We start from the raw sequence: 20744 nt of genomic DNA, 5'->3' as shown, positions 1-20744 counted from the left end.
TTATATTTTGCCTGTTTTGTTGATGAGAGTGCTATCAAAGTAGTATACTTTGAGATTTATTGCCATTTGTCTGTGAAGAATCTGGGTAGATGTATAAACTTTTGGGGAGGAGAAGTTTTTAACTAAAGGGAAGTATTTTCATTATTTGGATGTGCCTGATAACAGCTTTATATCCAACAAATGGTGTATTATAAGTTTAAAACCTCAGGTTGGATTATAGTAACACATTATATTAAGTAATTCATTACTCATAAAGATTAATTAGTTATTTTAAAGATAACACATTGCATTTGTTGTTTTTCAGTGTTACAGCTTACAACCTTAAAATACTTGTTACCTCACACAGACAGTTTTAATCATGAAAATATGATACATGCTTCTTTTCTCTTTATAGGCGAGATAAGCTTTGGATTTGCATGGAGTTTTGTGGAGGTGGTTCTTTACAGGATATTTATCACGGTAAGACCAAAGTTGTATTTTTATAGGGGTTAGGTTGAATTTCTTAAAATACAGCTATTTACTATATTAAAACATCAACATTATCTTAAGGAAAGCAAGCTATGTTTTATTGTTATATTGTTTGGCTATATAAAGGTATTTTAGATATAGGTGGAAGAAAGGAGGAGTCTTTGCTTTTTAATTTGGAAAATTAAATGCATTTGAATTATTTGCTAATTCTGCAGAGGCATATTGTAGTCATTTCAAAAATTTAAACTCAGACTTGTAAAAATTCAAGGGCTTTGCTGGCTAATGCTAAGCTGGTAAAATATCCAGTGTATACATGAGTAGTGATAATACAAAGATAATTTATTTTGCTCTCATGTATTCAAGAAATATCAATTAAATGTTTATTCTCTTAGATACTGCCAGATTCCGAGGGATTCAAAAATGATTAAAACATTTTTCACTGGGATTTCAAGGAGTGTATAAGAGATTTGTAAAGTAAAATAGCCTTTTCTTTTTCTTCCTTTTCTCTTTCTATTAGTGGATTATTGTCACAAACTGTAGAGTAGGCTTTTGATTAATGTAAAATAAAATAATATCTATTTAATGTCTATTTTCTGAGAAAATATTGTGGACCTTTTTTCTCATTTTTTCATAGAATTTGGGCTCCTATTTTCTAGTGTGGGGCCACTTAAGTAATTTGAGGGGTGAATTACACTAAAGCAGAGATGTAAGACTATTTGGGTCAGAATTTTACTGTTTCTATTTTACTTCATTTCACTTTATCTTCTTGGCATAGGTTTTACTTAACATAAAGATTGACATAATAGTATTTTACTGGGATTACAGTTGAAATAGGGAAAAGGAAATGATGGATTTTCTGGAATCATTTTAGAAAACTTAATAAAGAAAATAAGCTACTTACATTGGTCTTTAAAAGATAGGTAAACTCGGTAGAAAAAGGATGATGAAGGGCCGGGTGCAGTGGCTCATGCCTGTAATCCCAGCACTTTGGGAGGCTGAGGCGGGCAGATCACCTGAGGTCAGGAGTTCAAGACTGGCCTGGCCAACATGGTGAAACCCCATCTCTACCAAAATTAGCTGGGCATGATGGTGGGTGCTTGTAATCCTAGCTACTCCAAAGGCTGCGGCGGGAGAATTGCTTGAACCTAGGAGGCGGAGGTTGCAGTGAGCCAAGATTGCACCGTTGGACTACAGCCTGGGCAACAGAACGAGACTCTGTCTCAAAATAATAATAATAATAATAATAATAATAATAATAATAATAATAATACTAGAAAGACAAAGAAGTGCATTTTCAGAGATGAAGCCTTGGCACAGTAACATGAAGGTGTGACTCATGTGTGATCACTCTTGTTGGTGTGGGTGTGGGGTCGAATAGGGAGAGCCTTGAAGACCAGGTGAAAGAGTATGAGAAGGTTTCTGCTTTATGAAAAGTTACTTTTTAAGGATACTTTTAATTAAGTATAGTTGTTCTTTGATAAATATTTGAGAAACTTTTCTTTATTATTTGTGGCATTTTGATTTCAAAGATTCAGTGAAAATGAAGAGATATCTGGCATTATTTTACATGACAAAACAGTATTTCTAGAAGCTTGTAATTTCTATGTTAGAAATTCAAATGGCTATTCCACTTTTTTTTGGTTGGAATTTGGGTGAATTTCTCTATTATTGATTTCCTTACTAATTGGTTTAATTTCCCTTTTGCTGAATTTTTTTTTTTTTTTAAACGGAGTCTTGCTCTGTCGCGCAGGCTGGAGTGCAGTGGTGCTATCTCGGCTCACTGCAACCTCCACCTCCCGGGTTCAAGTGATTCTCCTGCCTCAGCCTCCTGAGTAGCTGGGACTACAGGTTCCTGCCACCACACCGGCTAATTTTTATATTTTTAGTAGAGATGGAGTTTCACCATATTGGCCAGGCTGGTCTTGAACTCCTGACCTTGTGATCCGCCCACCTCAGCTTCCCAAAGTGCTAGGATTACAGGCATGAGCTACCACGCCCGGCCTCCTGAAGTTTTTTCAGTGATATTTTAGTGGTAAACTTCCTCAGTGTTTGACCCTCAGTATTAGTTGATTATTTAAGTGGGTATAGATAGGTATTTTCTAGGTTGACAGGTATTTTCTTTCAGCATTTTGAAGAAGGTGGGCCATTGTCTTTTAGCTTCTATGGTTATTAGAACCTTCTGTCAGTCTAATTATTGATCCTTTGCAGGTAATCTGTTCTTATCTCTAATTGCTTTTTGTCTTTTTCTCTTAATTTCTGGTGCCTAAGAATGGGTTTATTTTTACTTTTTCTGCTTGGGACTTAACAGGCTTACCTCTGTGAATTTTGCTCTTTTATCACATCTGGACAATTATCAATTATTATGTCTTCAAATATTTTCTCCCCCAATCTGCGATCTCTCCTTTAGAATCTTAGTTAGATGTACAGTAGGTCTTCATGTCTCTTCAACTCAATTTCCTATTTACCAGTTTTTTATCCTTCAGGAGAGCCTGGAGATACTCATATCTATCTTCCAGTTTACTGATTTTACAGCTGTATTAGAACATCCATTAGATTTTATTTTTGGTTACCATATATTTTCATGTCTAGAAATTATTTGGTTCTATTTTATATCTCCCTCCATTATTTTTTCCTTTGTGTCTTATTCTTACAGTTTTCATTCCTTCTTTTACATCTTTAGTTTTTAAGGCGTACCTTTTTTTAGTCATTCTCAGATTGTTTAGTGATTTCATCATATATCCATATGATTGGTCTTAGGTGTCTGATTCTGCTTTCTTCATTAAGAAGCAAGACCAGTTTCGTTACAGAAATAGGTTGTCATGATTCTTACCATTCCATTTCAACCTAACTGGTAAAAGTAACAAAGTAATATGAATTCGTCAATACTGATTTATTTATACTGGTCAGCAACTGGCTCAGTGGAAAAAAATGGCAGTTTTCAGGTACCCTGGATGTTCTCATATATGAATATTGGGGATTCATATGCTTATGCAGAACCCCAAATCCTATCTTTCTCTGTGTTCACTCTTTTGGCTGTACCCATGTTTTCACCAAATAACCTTTTCGTGGCAATGTGTAATAATCTTTGGCTAGTCTATGGTGTTGTATACTTGCACGGTCATGTAGGACACGTACCTCCATTTCTTTCTATGTGTCTCTCTCTTCTGCCTCTTTTTTATCACATTGTCATTATATAGAGAGAGTATTATATCCTGGAATAATTTATTTAATGAAGGGGAAGTTCTTTTAATAATCCTAGTGCTTGCAAGGTTTCCCCTTTAACTTTTATTTACTTTTACTTTGAAGAACTAACAGTAGAACCTTTTATTGTTCCAACATAATAGGATTTTTTTCTATTTTCCATTGAGCTTTTTGTGTTTGTTTATTTAATATTGTTCTTTAATAACTTTCCACAACCCGTTATATCTTTATGGTTAATTATTTTCTCACTTATTTTATAATTTTGGATTTTGAGATCATTTTTAGTGAGGTTTTTCAGTGGGAATTCTATGTGGCATTTGAAGATGTGTCCTTCCAGAGTTTTGTTTTTGTTTTTTGGGTTGTTGTTGTTTTTTTTCTGGGATCCTGGTGACCTCATTGTTTCCAATATATATTTGAATGCTCAACCTGAGTAAGGAGGCCTATGGTGACAAATTCTAAGAGGAGGCATGTTTCCTCCATCCCTATGACAGCCAAAATCCCTAGTTATCGTCGTGCTTGTCTACACCTTTAATGAGGATGTAGCCCTCTGAGACTTCTGGTTTTATGTGGGTGTTTGTTTTAGCTCTTCTGCATACCTAGGGCCTTGTCTTCTGTACCCATGTAGAGGATAATGCTAAAGCCCTAGCTTACCAGGATTAACCTTCCCCTAAGAGACAGCTAGAATATTCTTTCACAGTTTTACCTTCTGTTTTTCATTTGTCTCCTGGGAAAGTATCTTACTGTTTGTAAAGTTAGCTAGTAATTGAAAAGGTTATTTCTGAAAAAAAAATTGTCTTTCACTTCCAAGTGTTATTTTCAGGGTTTTCAGATTATCTTATTTATCATATTATAGAAACAGAAATCTCAAGGAGGTTTATCTTACTGAATGTGTGTGGGCTTGGAAGCCACAGAAATAAGTTACATGGTTTATCCATAGACATTTAAACCCAACCCGGTCCTTAAAATAATCTAATTGGAATAGATTTCTCTCTTTCATAATTGTAAAATACCACAAGTACTCCAAACTAAACATGTTTACAAATCTGTTAAGTTTGTGTAAATGTGAGTTTACTATCTAGCCAAGGTTTTTATCCTTGGAATTTAATTCAATTTCTAGAATAGTCTCTCCCACTTTTTATTCTAAAGTGATTTAATAGTGAAAAAGAAAACTATTTTAGTGTACAGATGCTCTGTTTGTGCTGCTATAACAAAATGCCTGAGACTGAGTAATTTATAAACAACAGAAATTTATTTCTCACACTTCTGGAGGCTGGGAAGTGCAAGATCAAGGTGCCAACAGGTTTGGTGTCTGGCAAGGACCCATTTCTCATAGAGTGCACACACACTGTGTCCTCACATGGCAGAAGAGATGGAAGGGCAAAAAAGAGTAGACACTGCTTGAAGTCTCTTTTATTAAGAGTCTTAATCTCCTTCACAAGGGAGGAGCACTCATGACCTAATCTCCTCCTCAGTGTCCTGCCTCTTTGAGATTAAGTTTCAACGTGAGTTCTGGAGGGACTTAGCAGATGCATACACAGGAAATATTACTTATAAGATTAAGACCTATATATTGATGTAAAGGTGTTCATCGTAAGTGAAAAGAGTAGGTTTCAGAATTGTATGATTCCACTTATGTAAAGTTTCTGAGATACAAATAGTTTATAAAATGTCCGTTTAAAATAGTCTGGTAGGTTATAGACCAAACTATTGGTATTGCTTACTGTTGAGTAACATTTTGGATAAAGAAGAGACCTTTAATTTCCAAACTTTTCTATTGATTGGAACTTTAGAGTGAACATGTATTAATTTTATAGCTATCTGGCTAATATTTTTATAAGAAGTATTGATTTAAAACTAGTCATAATACATGTTCTATATCAACTAAAAAGCTTTAATAAAAGCCAGCTAAACCTATTGGACATCGTTTCTTTTGATGTTTAAGAGATGATATTGATGAATGAGATATAAAAATGAGAATATAATTAATTTCAGTGACTACTTTAGACATTCATTCATTCCATAAATATTTATCAGGCTGCTTTTCTGTGCCAGGCACTGTTCTGCACACTGGAGATACAACAATGAGCAAATCAGATTTTTAAAAAGCAAAAAATTGGCTGGGCACAGTGGCTCACACCTGTAATTCCAGCACTTCAGGAGGCTGAGGCAGGAAGATTGCTTGAGCCCAGAAATTCAATACCAGCCTGGGCAAGATAATGAGACCCCATCTCTGCAAAAAATGAAAAATAAACTAGCCAGGTGTGGTGGCATGCACCTATGCCCCCAGCCACTCAAGAGGCTGAGGTGGGAGGATCACTTGAGCCCAGGAGGTCGAGGCTGCAGTGAGCTGTGATTGCACTACACTCCAGCCTGGGTGACATAATGAGACCCTGTCTCAAAAAAAAAAAAAAAAAAAAAAAAAAAACTGGAGCCAGGCACAGTAGGACAGTAGTAATTCATGCCTGTAGTCCTAGCTTACATTTCAGTAGAATTGTTTAGGGATATTAAGTCTGTTGCTTAAACTTGTAAAACTTTATTATATATTGAAAAACATGCGTTGACTAATTTTATGAGTATTAATTGTCTTCTTTTACAGTAACTGGACCTCTGTCAGAACTGCAAATTGCATATGTTAGCAGAGAAACACTGCAGGTAAATCAAGTGCTAATTCAAAAATAACATTTTTCATTAAACTAAGGCTTTACTTACTGTGCATTACCTGTTCAGCAAAGTAAGAACTAAATATTTTAGTTTGGTAAACTCTTAAAATGAGTTTTAATACATTTGAAAATTGTGTAATGAACTCAAATTATATTTACAAATAAATACTTTAAAGCATAAATGTGATGATATAACCTAAAATTTAAGCACTATGCATCTGTTATTGTATATTTTCCTCTTAATACCAAAGAAAGGCTTGAAAATTAAGCACTATCATGGGAATTCAAACACTCTGATACTAATTAGGTATATACTTTTTAAAAGTTATTTCAAACTATTTGTAGAATTCACTGAAAATTTTCTTAGAAAAATTAGTCATTTTCTTGATCTTTTTTTAGGATATCTCATTAAAATATGTTAATGATTAGTACTAGATCTCCTGTAAAGATTAAATAAAATACACAGAATACTACCCATTTGATTACATAAAATCCAAAAGAGTGCTCTTTGATAAAATCTTGTTTATTTTTCTGTTTTTTGAAACTCCAGGGATTATATTATCTTCACAGTAAAGGAAAAATGCACAGAGATATAAAGGTATACATTATATTTTTAACATAATAACCCTCTCTTCATTTTTAAATACTCTGATCAAATTGTTTTGAGCAAAATTGTTTTATTTGATAAATGCATCTGAAATGTTACCATAATAAAAATGAGTGATACTTTTAATAGTTTAATTTTTTATAGCAGCTTTATTGAGGCACAATTCACATACCATAAAATTCACCCTTTTAAAGTATATCATTCAGTAGATTAATGTTTTAATAACTCATTTTAGCTTCTTTGTAGTTATTGATTAGTAAAATGCAGAGTAAGCTTATAGCTTTCATCAAGTTATAGTTTTTAGTAAGTTTTATGCTTTGACTATTTCAGTGAGCTTTCGCAGTCTTAAGTCTAAGTCTTAGTAATGCATCAAAATGGATAAATTGACCTTTGACACTTTCTCATAGTCTTTTTTTTTTTTTTTTTTTTTTTTTTTTTTGAGATGGAGTCTCGCTCTGTTGCCCAGGCTAGAGTGCAGTGGCACGATGTCGGCTCACTGCAACCTCCCCTCCCGGGTTCAAGTGATTCCCCTGCCTCAGCCTCCCGAGTAGCTGGGATTACAGCCACCTGCCACCATGCTTGGCTAATTTTCATATTTTTAGTAAAGACAGGATTTCATCATGTTGGCCAGGCTGGTCTCGATCTCCTGACCTCAGGTGATCATCCCACCTCGGCCTCCTAAAAGTGCCAGGATTACAGACGTGAGCCACTGTGTCCTGCCTTCTCATAGTCTTTTATTTATTTAGCTGGCAAAGGAGAGCAGGTGCTCTGAATGTGCTGGGGTTAGCCCAGTGGTACAGCATGTGCTCTGGTAGGAATCCTTAGCATATTTCTAAAGATACTGCCATCTCCCCAGTTTAGATTTTTTTTCTTTCACTTATTTTTCTTGTGCCTTCTTTGTTCATCCTTCCTCATATTTCTCTCTTCCCCTTTTGTTTTCTAACATTTTCTCTAACATAAAGATTTTTAACCTTTTTTGAGGATAGAGGCTGGGGCAAATCTTACTGTCCTCTGGGTTTCTGATGATAAACTATGAACTGTCTTCTGAGAAAATGCCCTTATGCGCATGTCTTCAAATTTTCCAAGAAATTTCAATGGACTCGCAGATAACCTGCTGAGATCCCTTGTTTGAAGGTATTTTTTTGTGATCCACTTAAAAGACATAAAGAGCTTTTGGAGTTCAAAGGTAGAAGAGCTCACAGGAAGATGAGCAGCTCAAGAAAGGTTCTGTGTCATTGGCATGTAGATGATCTGGGAGGATTGACAGATTTTTGTCAGAAATGGAAGTTGGAGTACATTTCAAGCAGAGAAAACAATGTGAGCAGATACAGAAGTTAGAAAGTGTGAGGCCATTTTAGAGAACATAAAAACTGTACCATATTATTGAAGAGAAGAGAATGTATGAGACTAATTAGAGATGGGACTGGTTGGGTAGTTTGATGTTCCATTATGCAAGGACTTGTGTGCTAGACTTCAGAGTCTGGGCCTAATTGGGTTGATTTGATTTGGGTCATCGCCACCATTTCTACTCCTGTCTAAGCCACCATAATATTATATCATGTGGTCTTTTGTAATAGCCTGAGTGGTCTCAATGCTCCCATTCTTAGTGGTTTTGTAGTCACTTTTCTGCTTGGCGACCAAAGGGACCTTTTCAACCATATCTTATCACTCTCCTGCTTATAAACCACCATTGCTTTCCCATTGTACTCAGTATAAAGTCCAGATGCCTTTACCATGACCTGCAAGGTTATACGTGGTCTGACCCATGCATTTCTCCGTGACCTCATCTTATACTCCAGGTTTCTCTGTTTTACTCATTCTTTTCCAGCCACACTAAACTTGCCGATCTTAGAATATGTTGAGCTCATTCTAGCCCCAGGTCTTCAAATTTCCTCCTCCTTTCCTGAAATAGTCTTCTCCCAGATTTTGGTGTGGCTCTGTACCCTTACTTCACCCAGATCTCTGCTCATATATTACTGCCTTTGGAGAGGCCTTCCCTGCTGTGTCTTCAGAGTAATTATTTCTACCTGACTTTGAATCATTTGTTGATTCATTCATTCATAGATGATAAATATATTTATTTTAAGTTTTTTCCTCCTACTTGGATGTAAACTCCATGGGAATTGGAACTTACTCATTATTGTAACCCCAGAGCTTAAAATAGCACCTGACTACTAGTAGCCTCTCAGGGAGGGAAAGGAGGGAGGAGAGAAAGGCCATAATGTACAAGTGATGTGATTATAAGCTATAACTTAGGAAAGTTAGTCTGAGCTGAAGAAAGGCCAAACTGAAGCCTCTGACAGAAGTCTTAGATAGCTAGGTACTAGATCAAGTTAAAATCCCTGCTCCTAGTCTCTTTCCTTTTTCTCCTTCCCCTACTATTCCACAGAGCTACAGTAGTATCAGTGGGTGGGTGCAGCTCAGCTTCACTGGTGACATTTGGAGTTTAGGAGCCTTTTTTTTTCTCCCCAACCCCCTGTCTCCTGTGCCAGTCTTTTACTGTTTTTTCCTCATGTTGGTTGAGAGTAGGAGGGTTCCCAGTATTTTTTCCACCAAACCCATACTTACATGATTGATGGCACCTTGGACCAAAGAGCCCACAATACCTTTGGGATATAGTATTGCTATCTCTTCCAAAAGCTTTGAGCTTATTGAAGATGAAGTCATCATTATCTACTTTGAGCTTAGATCAAGAAGCAAAAGTGGCTAAAATGCAACCAGATCATGCAGAGGGGTGACATTTTAATTTTGTGGGCCTGTGGCTAGTTGTTTATGTACTGGATGGGCCTAAGCACTTGGTAAGGCACATTAGGATAGACAACCTCATGTACTAAGCAGCAAGGTACAGTCTCACATACCAACCCTGGTTCAATTGATGGTGAGTTCCTAGAAAGGGAGGTTCTTTTAAAAACACACACACACACACACACACACACACACACACACACAAAAATGGGAAACAATAATCAAGTTTAAAGTGTAATGTAAACAGTTGAAAATGCATTGTACGGTTACATTATAGTGTGGTGATAGTGTTTGATCAATGAGGAAATAACATTTTGATGAAAACTAATATATCACTTTTATATTAACATTCATACTATGTTAGTAGCAGCTTTTTTGCAAGGCAGAACATTTTATAAAGATAGTCAAGTTGCCTAAAAAGTGGACAGTAGATTTACCTATGACTCTAATGATACGACATTTTAATTAAGCACACTTTAAGTATTTCTAGGTCTAAGGCTGTGATTATTTTAAATATGTATATTTATTATATATGTGCTGTCTGATAAAATATCTATTTCCTACTCTAACTAAAATATTGTTACTTTGAAGGGAGCTAACATTCTATTAACGGATAATGGTCATGTGAAATTGGGTAAGTAAATTGGAATTTTGTCACGTGCACAAATCTATTCTAAGATATAGTAAAGTTTATGTTTTCCTTTGTAGGACCAGGTTTTCCCTCTCCTAAGACGGCATCTGTGTATTTTTAGATGGAAATCTCGTTGCCATGCTGTCACCTCTCTGCATCCACTTCTCTTAAACAGGGATAAAGTCTGTCCTTCACATAAGACATATCTGTTGTAAAGATACTGTGAAAGAATACCCTTTCTGAATTCTTTCACCTCTAAACCCAGGAATGTGACTTCTGTAATAGTAAGAAATCTGTACAGAATTACCTTGTAACCAAAAAATAAGACAAATATCAAAAAATCAGTAACTCCAAAAACACTTTATTCTTCACATAAAGCTTTTAAAATAAAATACAGCATTACTTACTTAAGAATGTAATTTAGATGCTGAATGTTGCTTTATTTCAAACAGTAACATATTTCATTTTGTAACTGTAGGTTGTTAAATTTTCAATTAAAATAGAGTTCAAAACCTAAATAATGACTTAATTTGCAAGTTTAAGAACAAGTGTTCGTTATAGTTTTATGAACAAAGTCATATTTGTTAGTATTAAATGAAATAGTTAATAACAAATAGAAAACAGTTATTTTAAACTATATCTATTAGATAAACCCAAATTAAAAATAAGCATTTTATAAAAATATAGATATAACTATTTTGAACTATAACCTGTGAGATTAATCAGATTTAAGAATATGTATCTAGAAATTAACATATAATAAAAATTTCCTCCGTGACTTCTAAATATGGGAAAAGCAGAAAAGATATGTCCTGTTCTTTTTAGTTATCTATTGATTGCTTAGTGAACAGTTTTTATCAGCAGTTTAATATTTTGTGCCAGTGTGATGTGCCTCACTCAAAGACATACTATTTATAATATATCTTACTTGAGAAGGTTTTAGAAGTCATCATTAGTAAACTAGAAAATATTAGATCTCCAAATACTTATCTAAAAGAATAGTAACAAATCATACATAAAAATAATTTCCTGATAGTGACTGATACTGGTACTAAATGTATTGTTAAGTTTGGGGATATTCTGATTGGATGTCTTTTCAAGCTGCAAGTAGACTTACTGGTTTATCTGATGTCAATCATGGGTATGGAGAAAGTGAATGGAATATAATGTCTCTTAAAGATCCCTTCCAGTGATATTCCTTGGATTTCTGGTCCTGAGAATTAGAAATTACAATATTAATAAGTTTGGCAATTTACATTCTCTCAGCTATCACTTTCTCTTCAAAATTATTTGATCTTGACCTTTGTTATTTGATTTATGTGGGGATATATGGGAATCTTATTTGGCTGTGATATGTATTCACTACTTTGTGATATTTTAATGCGAGTCCATTAAGGTTAAAATTTGTAATGTGATGTTTGAGAATATCCCGTATTGCTGTAAAATTAACTTAATAAAAATAACTTTTAAAAGTTTCTTTTTATGTTGCCTTAAACAATTTTATTTTCTCTCAGTTTCCTAAATGTTTCTCATTTTTTTTAATAGCTGATTTTGGAGTATCTGCACAGATAACAGCTACAATTGCCAAACGGAAGTCTTTCATTGGCACACCATATTGGTAATTGTATTTTAATTGATATTTAATACTTTGTTCTATCATTATTGGATATAGCATTTCTAAAAAATAGACTGGTCAGAATTTTTCAGACTAAGATTAAGAAAAAAGTCATCAACAGGCAAAGTAATTCAGGCATGTACACTTATGGGTGGATTACATGGCCAGAAAATATCCTACCATGTTATTTTTCACTAAGGAGAAAAGGCTTTAATGATTGATATGGCTTTCAGAAACCTTAATATTTGTTCTAGCCTTGCTGGAAAATCCTGACTCTTTTTCCTGTACATTTCTCATGTATTTTCACAGGTGTTTTTATATCTTTCTTCACCCCCATTTCCAGTCCATATTGTGATTAATCTTTCAACATTACATTATTCAAGTACCTCTTTGCTAAAAACTTTTTGGCATGTCTTGGTTGCCTATAGGATCAAATGCAGATTTCTTGACAGTTGAGTCTTCTGTGATCTGGCCTCTGTCTGCTTCATTAGCCTTAGCTCTTACCAGTCTTCTCCATGGACCTTCCTTTCTAGCCATGTTTGTCTGTTAGATACTGATCATAGTATAAAAACTATCCTACTCGCATATTTATTTACAGAATAGTTTTTGGCCGCTTACTATGCTAGATGTGATATTAAGCAGTATGATGATAATGGTGGATTGGTATAGAGCTTTTTTTGTTCATATCATTACTTTGAAGTAACAGCACCCTGGAATTCCTACCTTGCTTTCAGCTTATGTGCAACCACTCCCCTGATGCCCTCTTCATCTGACTCATCAGCAGTCATATAGCTTTAATTGCTACTACTAATTTTTTTGCATTTAGAATATGATGTATATACCATTTTCATGTCAGCCTATCTTTTCATCAATATATATTTTAAAAGTCAAATAATGCTAAAAAGGCATATGAGAAAAACTTAGTTGTAACTTCTGCCATCTCTAGCATTATTCATTTACAGATACTGCGTTATGACAGTTGAAGATCTTAGCTCTCTTCATTCATCTTTCAATCATCTTATCTTTCCAGTGTACTTTGCTGAGTCAATTAACAGTACTTTCCTGAAAAAAGCTTTTCCTGATTTTAATAATTTCATTTTAAATTTACTTAGTTTCTTGTTTCTGTTTTTAAATCCCTGATTAACACTTTCCATACCTTCCCTCATTTTGCAGTTTTGTAAGATGCCTCTGTATAATTTTCTATACCATAAAGTCTGTCACATTATCTGTCAGTGCTGATTTTTGTCGGGTTGTTGTTGCTTTATTTTTGTTTTTGTTTTTGTTTTCCTAGAATAATCCTTCCTGGAGTCATTTTCCCTCCTGTTCCAGCCTGGACTGTTGAATTCTCTAGCTCTTTTGCCTGGCTCTGCTCTGGCAGTCTTTCATCTTCAGCTTAGCATTCCTTTCTTGGATTCTAGGTCTTCTTCTTTCATGATGTACTCCTTCCTTTTTGTGTGTGTGAAACACATTTTAATAACTTTCTGAGAAACCGTGCATGGGAGTAACATTTTTGAGATTTTGCATGTGTATCCTTGTACATGATTGATAATTTTGGTGGGTAATTCTAGGATAGAGTTTTTGAAGTATTGCACTAGTGTCTTCTGTGGTGCCCATGGTGTGATACCATTATCTATGATCTATTGAATGTAACTCCTCCCCCTAGAATCATTCCTGGTGTTTTGATATTCCATAATTATATACCTCAAAAAATATTTTTTTATTGTTTTTACTTTTATTCATTGTACTTGGCATTTGTGCTTTATAATCCAAAGACTCATGTCTTTTCAGTTTTGGGAAGTACTCTTGTGTCATTTCTTTGATAATTTCTTTGCTGTACTTTTTCCTGCTCTCTATGGAACTCACTGGTTGTATCTTGGACCACTTAAATTAATCTATTAATTTTCTTATATTTTCTCTAAGAACAAAAAAATCTTTTTTGTTCTACTTATAAGAGTTCCTCAACTCTCTACATTCATATTTTCATGATGGAGCCTTCCCTCAAATGTCCACTAATCCTTACATTTTGGTTCACTTTGAAGAGCATGGCACTAAAAACTGGTTCATAACTCTTTTTGTTTGGGAAGTCGGGTGTAAACCTGGTTGTTATGTTCTAGAACTGGTCAAGTGAAGGAAGCAGAGATGTTCATTGTTCTATATACGTACTTCTACTTAATCATGTCCTCTCCCTTTAACCTCTTCACTCCTTGGTTCCTGGTGTCTCTTGAGTCTGCAGTCTCTCTTCTTCGTCTTGGTCCTTATCCAGTGGGAATTGGGGGGCAATAGTTGCTGGGGCTTAATGGATAAGAGTAGGAATGCCAGGGACTGACTGTTGACACTTTCTAATACTCCTGTTTCCAGCCCAACCTCAACCCTACTATTGCTACTTTTTAAACCTAGCTTGTCAACATTTCCAGGGTATTTGAGGCTCATTGGCTGCTAGTTGTTGTTCTTTTCCTTGGCACCTGCTTAGGTTTGCCCTGCCTCCTGTTTGCTACATCATTTACTATTCTTCTGTTTTTAGTCTGTGTGTTATGGTTTTAGTTAAAATATGTCTGCTGGACTTTTCAAAGATGGTATGTGTATATATTTCTCTTTGTTCTTCTCTTTATTGTTTTGGGTTGAGCAGAGTGAGGGCTTGAATTGCTGTCATTTTTAAGTACACTGTCTTCTCAGTTTTATTGTAAACATCTCATTAAATCTTCAGGATCTGACTTGATTCTATACAATATTCATTCACTGAATGTTAATGATGAAATTTCCAACTCCAGTTTCACAGGTTAAAAATTTATGTCATTACTCTTGGAATAATGTGGGAAATATCTTGGGAACATGTGAAATTGTGAATTAGGTAAAGTTAATTTTGGGAACACTCTCCCTGTATCTGTCTTTCTGGTATTATATCTTTCCTACCTAAAATCTAAAACTTTAGAACCTCTCTCTTCCCAAGTGATTAGATCGGCAGTTATTCAGTTGTTCGAAAAAGTCTGCTTGAAATGACAGTTCTCAAAATTAAACACATATGTACCTTAAACATTTTATTTCAATTTAAGACATATATGTACATTTATTCAACAGTCTTTTGATATAGAATCAAGGCCTTTTCTTAGAGTAGATCACTTACTAGAGTTCCATTTTAGTAATGCAAACCACACACACCCCAATGCATCAACTACATTTCTTAGTCAGGTTTATTGAGGCATAAATTTACCCTTATTAGGTGTACAGTTGTGCAAATTCATACAGTTGTATGAATGTTGAAAAACTTGTATGCTGTGGTGGTAAGAAACCACCAGAACACATTGACACTATCCAAAAAATCTTTTATTTTGCCCCTTTTTAGTAAATGCTCTACCTCCATCCGTAGCATCTGGTAACCCCTGATCTGATTTCTGTCTCTATATTTGTGCCTTTTTCTTGAGTGGCATAGAAATGGAATCATATAATCTGTAGCCTTCCCAGTTTTCTGCCATTGTCATGTTCTTATCTAACGTACCAGGTTTTTTGGCTCATCTTTAGAAATTTGCCTTTCTAAAAGCGAAGTCTTTCTAAAGCATTCACTAATTTTTGTTTGTTTTTGTTTTTGGTTTTTGAGATGGGGTCTCACTCTGTCACCCAGGCTGAAGTGCAGTCGTGTGATCTCAGCTCACTGCAACCTCTACTTCCCAGGCTCAAGCGATCGTCCCACCTCAGCCTCCCAAGTAACTAGAACCACAGGCATGCGCCACCATGCCCAGCTAATTTTTGCATTTTTGGTAGAGACGGGGTTTTGCCATGTTGCCCAGGCTGGTCTCAAACTCCTGAGCTCAAACCATCCACCTGCCTCGGCCTCCCAAAGTGCTAGGATTACAGGCGTGAGCCACTGCTCCCGGCCAGCATTCGCTAACTTTTAAACCTTCATTATAACTATGTGTTTACAATAGCAAATGTAACTGGAATAAACAGTTTCAGAGATGAACCCAGTTGACTGTGATAAGCACACAACTTAGCTGGCTGGAGTAGACATGTACTAAGTGTAATGTTTCCCTTGTATTTACATAGAAGAAGGGAGAGCATCAGCTAATGTGGTGAACTAGTAAGGGGAGGCAAGTTAGGAGCGTATCACTTGCATGCATTTCCCACTCCACTAGGGCATTTCTACCAGCTACTTGGAATCTAGTCATCATAAAAGTAATAACTGACACTTTGAAATTCGCTTTTCTTATAGTAATTTAAATTTTCATAAGATCTGTTTCAGATTTAAAAGATTTTAAGACCAGGGGTTTTGAAAGTTAGAGGGTTTTTTGTTTTTGACTTTACTGACTTACTTGACCTTCCTGAAATCATACCAGGAAGATAAATGTGTATTTGTAAGATTATCTAGACTGCTCTTTAGTATGGAAGAGTTGAGATGTTTATTTCAATTAGTTGCTTTTAAAAATATTGTTTAGGATTTGAAAATTTTTGTATTTGATAATTAATAGTTTAAATCAGTCAAATTCAAATTTATGGAAGTATAATTAGAATAAGACTGTAGCAAAGTAAAGAGAAACAAAAAAATTACTGAATTTGGGTAACTTTCCTCTGAATAAATACATTTTTTAAAAGTAGACACTTGTTTTTATAACTTTTCCATTATTATAATAGAACTAGAAAAAATGCCAAATAAGTTTTTAGTAAATATGAATTAAATACTAAATATGAAGATTATTGGTGCCCGACGGAATAGTTTTGGTGAAGTAAAAACAGGGATTGCCTGGTCGCAGTTTTTTGATAACAGGAAGTAGAGCTATAGGTTGCTTATTACGAATATTATTTATTGAATTTTGCATGTACAGAGAGATTGGGAGCATGAATGATTTTGGACGTGTTGGTCTATTAGAATTGTATATTTTTATAAACCTTTTTAGTAACTAGTATAAGGAAGTAACAATGGAATCAGCAATAGGGGACTGAAGTGCAGAGTCTTTTTTAAAATTTATAAACAAAGGTTTGATTGACTCACAGTATTGTATTGCATGGCTGGGGAGGCCTCAGAAAACTTACAATCATGGAGTAAGGCAAAAAAGCGGGCACCTTCTTCACAAGGTGGCAGGAGAGAGCACTCGGGAAACGGCCACTTTTAAAACCATCAGACCTTGTGAGAACCTGCTCACTATCATGAGAAAAGCATAGGGGAAACTGACCCAATGATCCAATCACCTCCTACGAGGCCCCTCCCTCAACACATGGGGATTACAGTTCGAGATGAGATTTGGGTGGGGACACAGAGCCAAACCATATCATTCTGCCCCTGCCCACCCCCCAAATTGCAGGTCCTTTTTACATTTCAAAACCAGTCATGCCTTCCCAACAGTCCCCCAAAGTCTTAACTCATTCCAGCATTAACCCAGAAGTCCAAATCCAAAGTCTCGTCTGAGGCAAGGCAAGGCAAGTCCCTTCCACCTATAAGCCTGTATAATCAAAAGCAAGTTACTAATGAGGGTCTTATGAGATGTCAAGATCTTGGAAAAGGTGGACCTTTTAAGTACTGCATATTTATTTTTCAAAAACCAAGGCCTAAAGAGGCCTTAATTTAGATAGTGATAATTCCTTGTGCCTCTGGGTGGGAGTATAAAGGAAAACATATAACAGAAGTTTTTTATTTTCTGGAATATTTATTTCAGGATGGCTCCAGAAGTTGCAGCTGTTGAGAGGAAGGGGGGTTACAATCAACTCTGTGATCTCTGGGCAGTGGGAATCACTGCCATAGAACTTGCAGAGCTTCAGCCTCCTATGTTTGACTTACACCCAATGAGGTCAGTGCATCATCATTGAAGAATCTTACGCTTAAGGTTTTTATCCTCTTAGTATGCTGTCATGAACAAGTAATTTTCTTAGTCTTGTTTTACCTTATTTGGGGAACAAATAGTAATAGAATTTGTGTAATAGATAAAAATGTGAAATATTAAAATGCTGTGTAATGATTTGTTGATTTTTCAGAGCATTATTTCTAATGACAAAAAGCAATTTTCAGCCTCCTAAACTAAAGGATAAAATGAAATGGTAAGTATTTTTATGTTATTTACTTTTATGGTGAGATGAGCAAAAAATGAATTGGAATGTAAAAGTCTAATTTTCTAAATTTCTTAGGTCAAATAGTTTTCATCACTTTGTGAAAATGGCACTTACCAAAAATCCGAAAAAAAGACCTACTGCTGAAAAATTATTACAGGTATTATTTTTGCCCTGAAATATATATATATATTTCAAAAGATAAAATGTTATTCAATCAGATTTATAGTAAGTGTTCTGCATTGTATTTAATTTTTATAGCATCCTTTTGTAACACAACATTTGACACGGTCTTTGGCAATCGAGCTGTTGGATAAAGTAAATAATCCAGATCATTCCACTTACCATGATTTCGATGATGATGATCCTGAGGTAGGAATTGCTTTTACCAGCGGGCATATATAACATGTATATGTGTATGTATATATGTGTGTCTGTATGTACGTCTCAAAATCCATTTTTTTAATTTTGGGGCCTAGTTTAAATAAAAAAGCTCTTGAGGGAACAATTAATTCTTTGTCTTTGCCTTTCATGGAAAGTCAAATGCTAGGTTTTTCTTACTGACTACTTATAGGTGACTATAGTGTGAAAATGGCAAAGGCATATCATTTAATCCACTTGTTGAAATCACTGTAGTTATTTCAAAATAGCCATTTTTGGTGAAGTTGCCAAATAATCATTCACTGTAAAAGGGAAAGCAAATGGGAAGTGCCTAAACAAGACATTTGAATATTCAAAATTTCCCCTCAGTTTGCTTCTCAAAAAGAATCCTCAGTTTGGCCTGGTGGCTCATGTCTGTAATCCCATCACTTTGGGAGGCTGAAGCAAGAGGATTACTTGAGGCCAGGAGTTTGAAACCTGCCTGGTCAACATAGCAAGACCCCGTTTCTATCTTTAAAAAAAAATTCTTATATAATACTTCATAAATTATTAGAGGTTAGTAGGAAGTATAGGCTTGACTTTGCCAGTGACTAAAACTCAGCTATTCACTATGGAAATGTTTTAAAATGAGCCAGTATAGTTGTTAATAAAATAATTCTAATATGACAGAAGCATTGATATTAATGGAAGCTTCACTTCTGTTTGCATATGTAACATTCCTAGCACTGCTAATAGTTGTGGCAACCAAGATAAATTCAGTATATGTGACATGGCAGAATTCTGTTATTGGGTCTGTAACAGAAGTGGATAGGCTTTAACTCTACTGGCTTTATGGGAGGCCCTTAAAAATATTGTAAATTTCATTAATGACTGAAGGTGAAGTGTTTAGAAAGACGGCCACAGATTGTCTTAAGTCAGAGAGAACCTTTCTATCAATTCAGCATTGTCCCAGCTTGCCATCTTATGATAGATAAGCTATTTGTCCTTTTGTTTAAGGGTCTGGAAAAGAGTTTGGAGCTTAAAAATGTAAGGAATGTAAAGTATAATTAATCTTATAATTATACTCTGAAGAAGTTTTTTTTGTTTTGTTTTTGTTTTTTTTTGAGATGAGTCTTACTCTATTACCCAGGCTGGAGTGCAATGGCATGCTCTCAGCTCACTGCAGCCTCTGCCTCCTGGGTTCAAACGATTCTCCTGCCTCAGCCTCCTGAGTAGCTGGGATTACAGGAGCCCACCACCATGCCCAGCTAATTTTTGTATTTTTAGTAGAGATGGGGTTTTACCACATTGGCCAGGTTGGTCTCGAACTCCTGACCTTGTGATCTGCCTGCCTCGGCCTCCCAAATGCTGGGATTACAGGCATGAGCCACCGCACCTGGCCTGAAGAAGTTTTTTGGTGTTGATTTGCTTAATTTTATTTTTAAGAAAGTTAAGTTTTACAAACTCTTCTAGTCTTATTTAGTATACAGGCAGTCCTTGATGTGCATGGTAGTATGGGACTGTAAAAATGACTGCATAAGCTAAAATTCTGCAAAGTAATCTTAATAATCAGGAAAAATTATAATTGTTTCATGACTTTTAAAATTTTTTGTTAAAGCATAAACTCTGTTACTGTCAGTTGTAATTGTAGAAATGTGAAAAAATAGTAAAACTATTATTTACAGTGTATTATAAATATTAGAATCATCGAGAGTTAATGTGTTTCATTTCTTTGTTAATGAACTTTTCATGCACTTTTTTTACTTATCTAGTAGTCTGCTTATTGAGTAGTTTGCCTTTTCATCATGTGTCTGTGACACAGAGCAAGTATCTTTTCTATGCCTTGGCAAATTGTCATATTGCTTTCTAATTTTCTTTCTAATCATGATCATGATGTGCATCTGTTATTTACGTAGTAATTTGTGAACTGAAAGGCTACCAATAAAGTTTATACTTTATGCAATTTCAATTAATATACAGTGGTAACTGTTATTTGAACCATGATGTAGGGAACTAGTGTTATTTAACTAAATTATGGTAACTGAAATTGGTGCATAACAAAGCTGTAAAACAAGGACTGCCTATATCCTTTTCAGTGCACTAAATGCTACATGATTGTTTCTTACCTCACCCTATGTACTTGTCATGTCTTTTTAAAAATGTACTCAAAGAACAGAAATAATAAACCAAATAGAGAAGCAATCTGTGGAATGAAGATTCTTCTAAAACTTTCTCATATAGCAGGGAAAGAAACTCATCTTTCTTATCCAGACATTGTTTTGGTATTATAATTATAAATTGTTACAAATCTCTATGGTAAGTAGGTAAAATAAAGGAATTTAATTATTCCAGGGGTAGGATGAGGGGAAGCTGTTACATTCCCTCTCACAGTAGCTTAGAATAATGTTTTTCTTAAGAGAAATTCAT

At 35.1% G+C, this 20744-nt stretch overlaps 1 protein-coding gene across 5 annotated transcripts in view; it reads left to right on the top strand.

The window, feature by feature from the left end:
- The window catches only part of MAP4K3 (mitogen-activated protein kinase kinase kinase kinase 3), a 188020-nt gene that overhangs the window by 93439 nt on the left and 73837 nt on the right, over positions 1–20744 (top strand). For all 5 annotated transcript variants that reach the window (NM_001410753.1, XM_047446092.1, NM_001270425.2 and 2 more), the window contains 9 exons: positions 395–459; positions 6266–6321; positions 6880–6927; positions 10273–10315; positions 11858–11930; positions 17570–17701; positions 17886–17948; positions 18036–18117; positions 18219–18329. In NM_001410753.1, coding sequence (NP_001397682.1) covers positions 395–459; positions 6266–6321; positions 6880–6927; positions 10273–10315; positions 11858–11930; positions 17570–17701; positions 17886–17948; positions 18036–18117; positions 18219–18329 — 673 coding nt within the window. The remainder of the gene's footprint in view (positions 1–394; positions 460–6265; positions 6322–6879; positions 6928–10272; positions 10316–11857; positions 11931–17569; positions 17702–17885; positions 17949–18035; positions 18118–18218; positions 18330–20744) is intronic.

Source organism: Homo sapiens, chromosome 2 (genome assembly GCF_000001405.40).
Source record: "Homo sapiens chromosome 2, GRCh38.p14 Primary Assembly".
Classification (NCBI taxonomy): Eukaryota; Metazoa; Chordata; class Mammalia; order Primates; family Hominidae; genus Homo; species Homo sapiens.
Note: the sequence above shows the minus strand (reverse complement) of the source record. Positions and strands in the feature narration are given on the sequence as shown.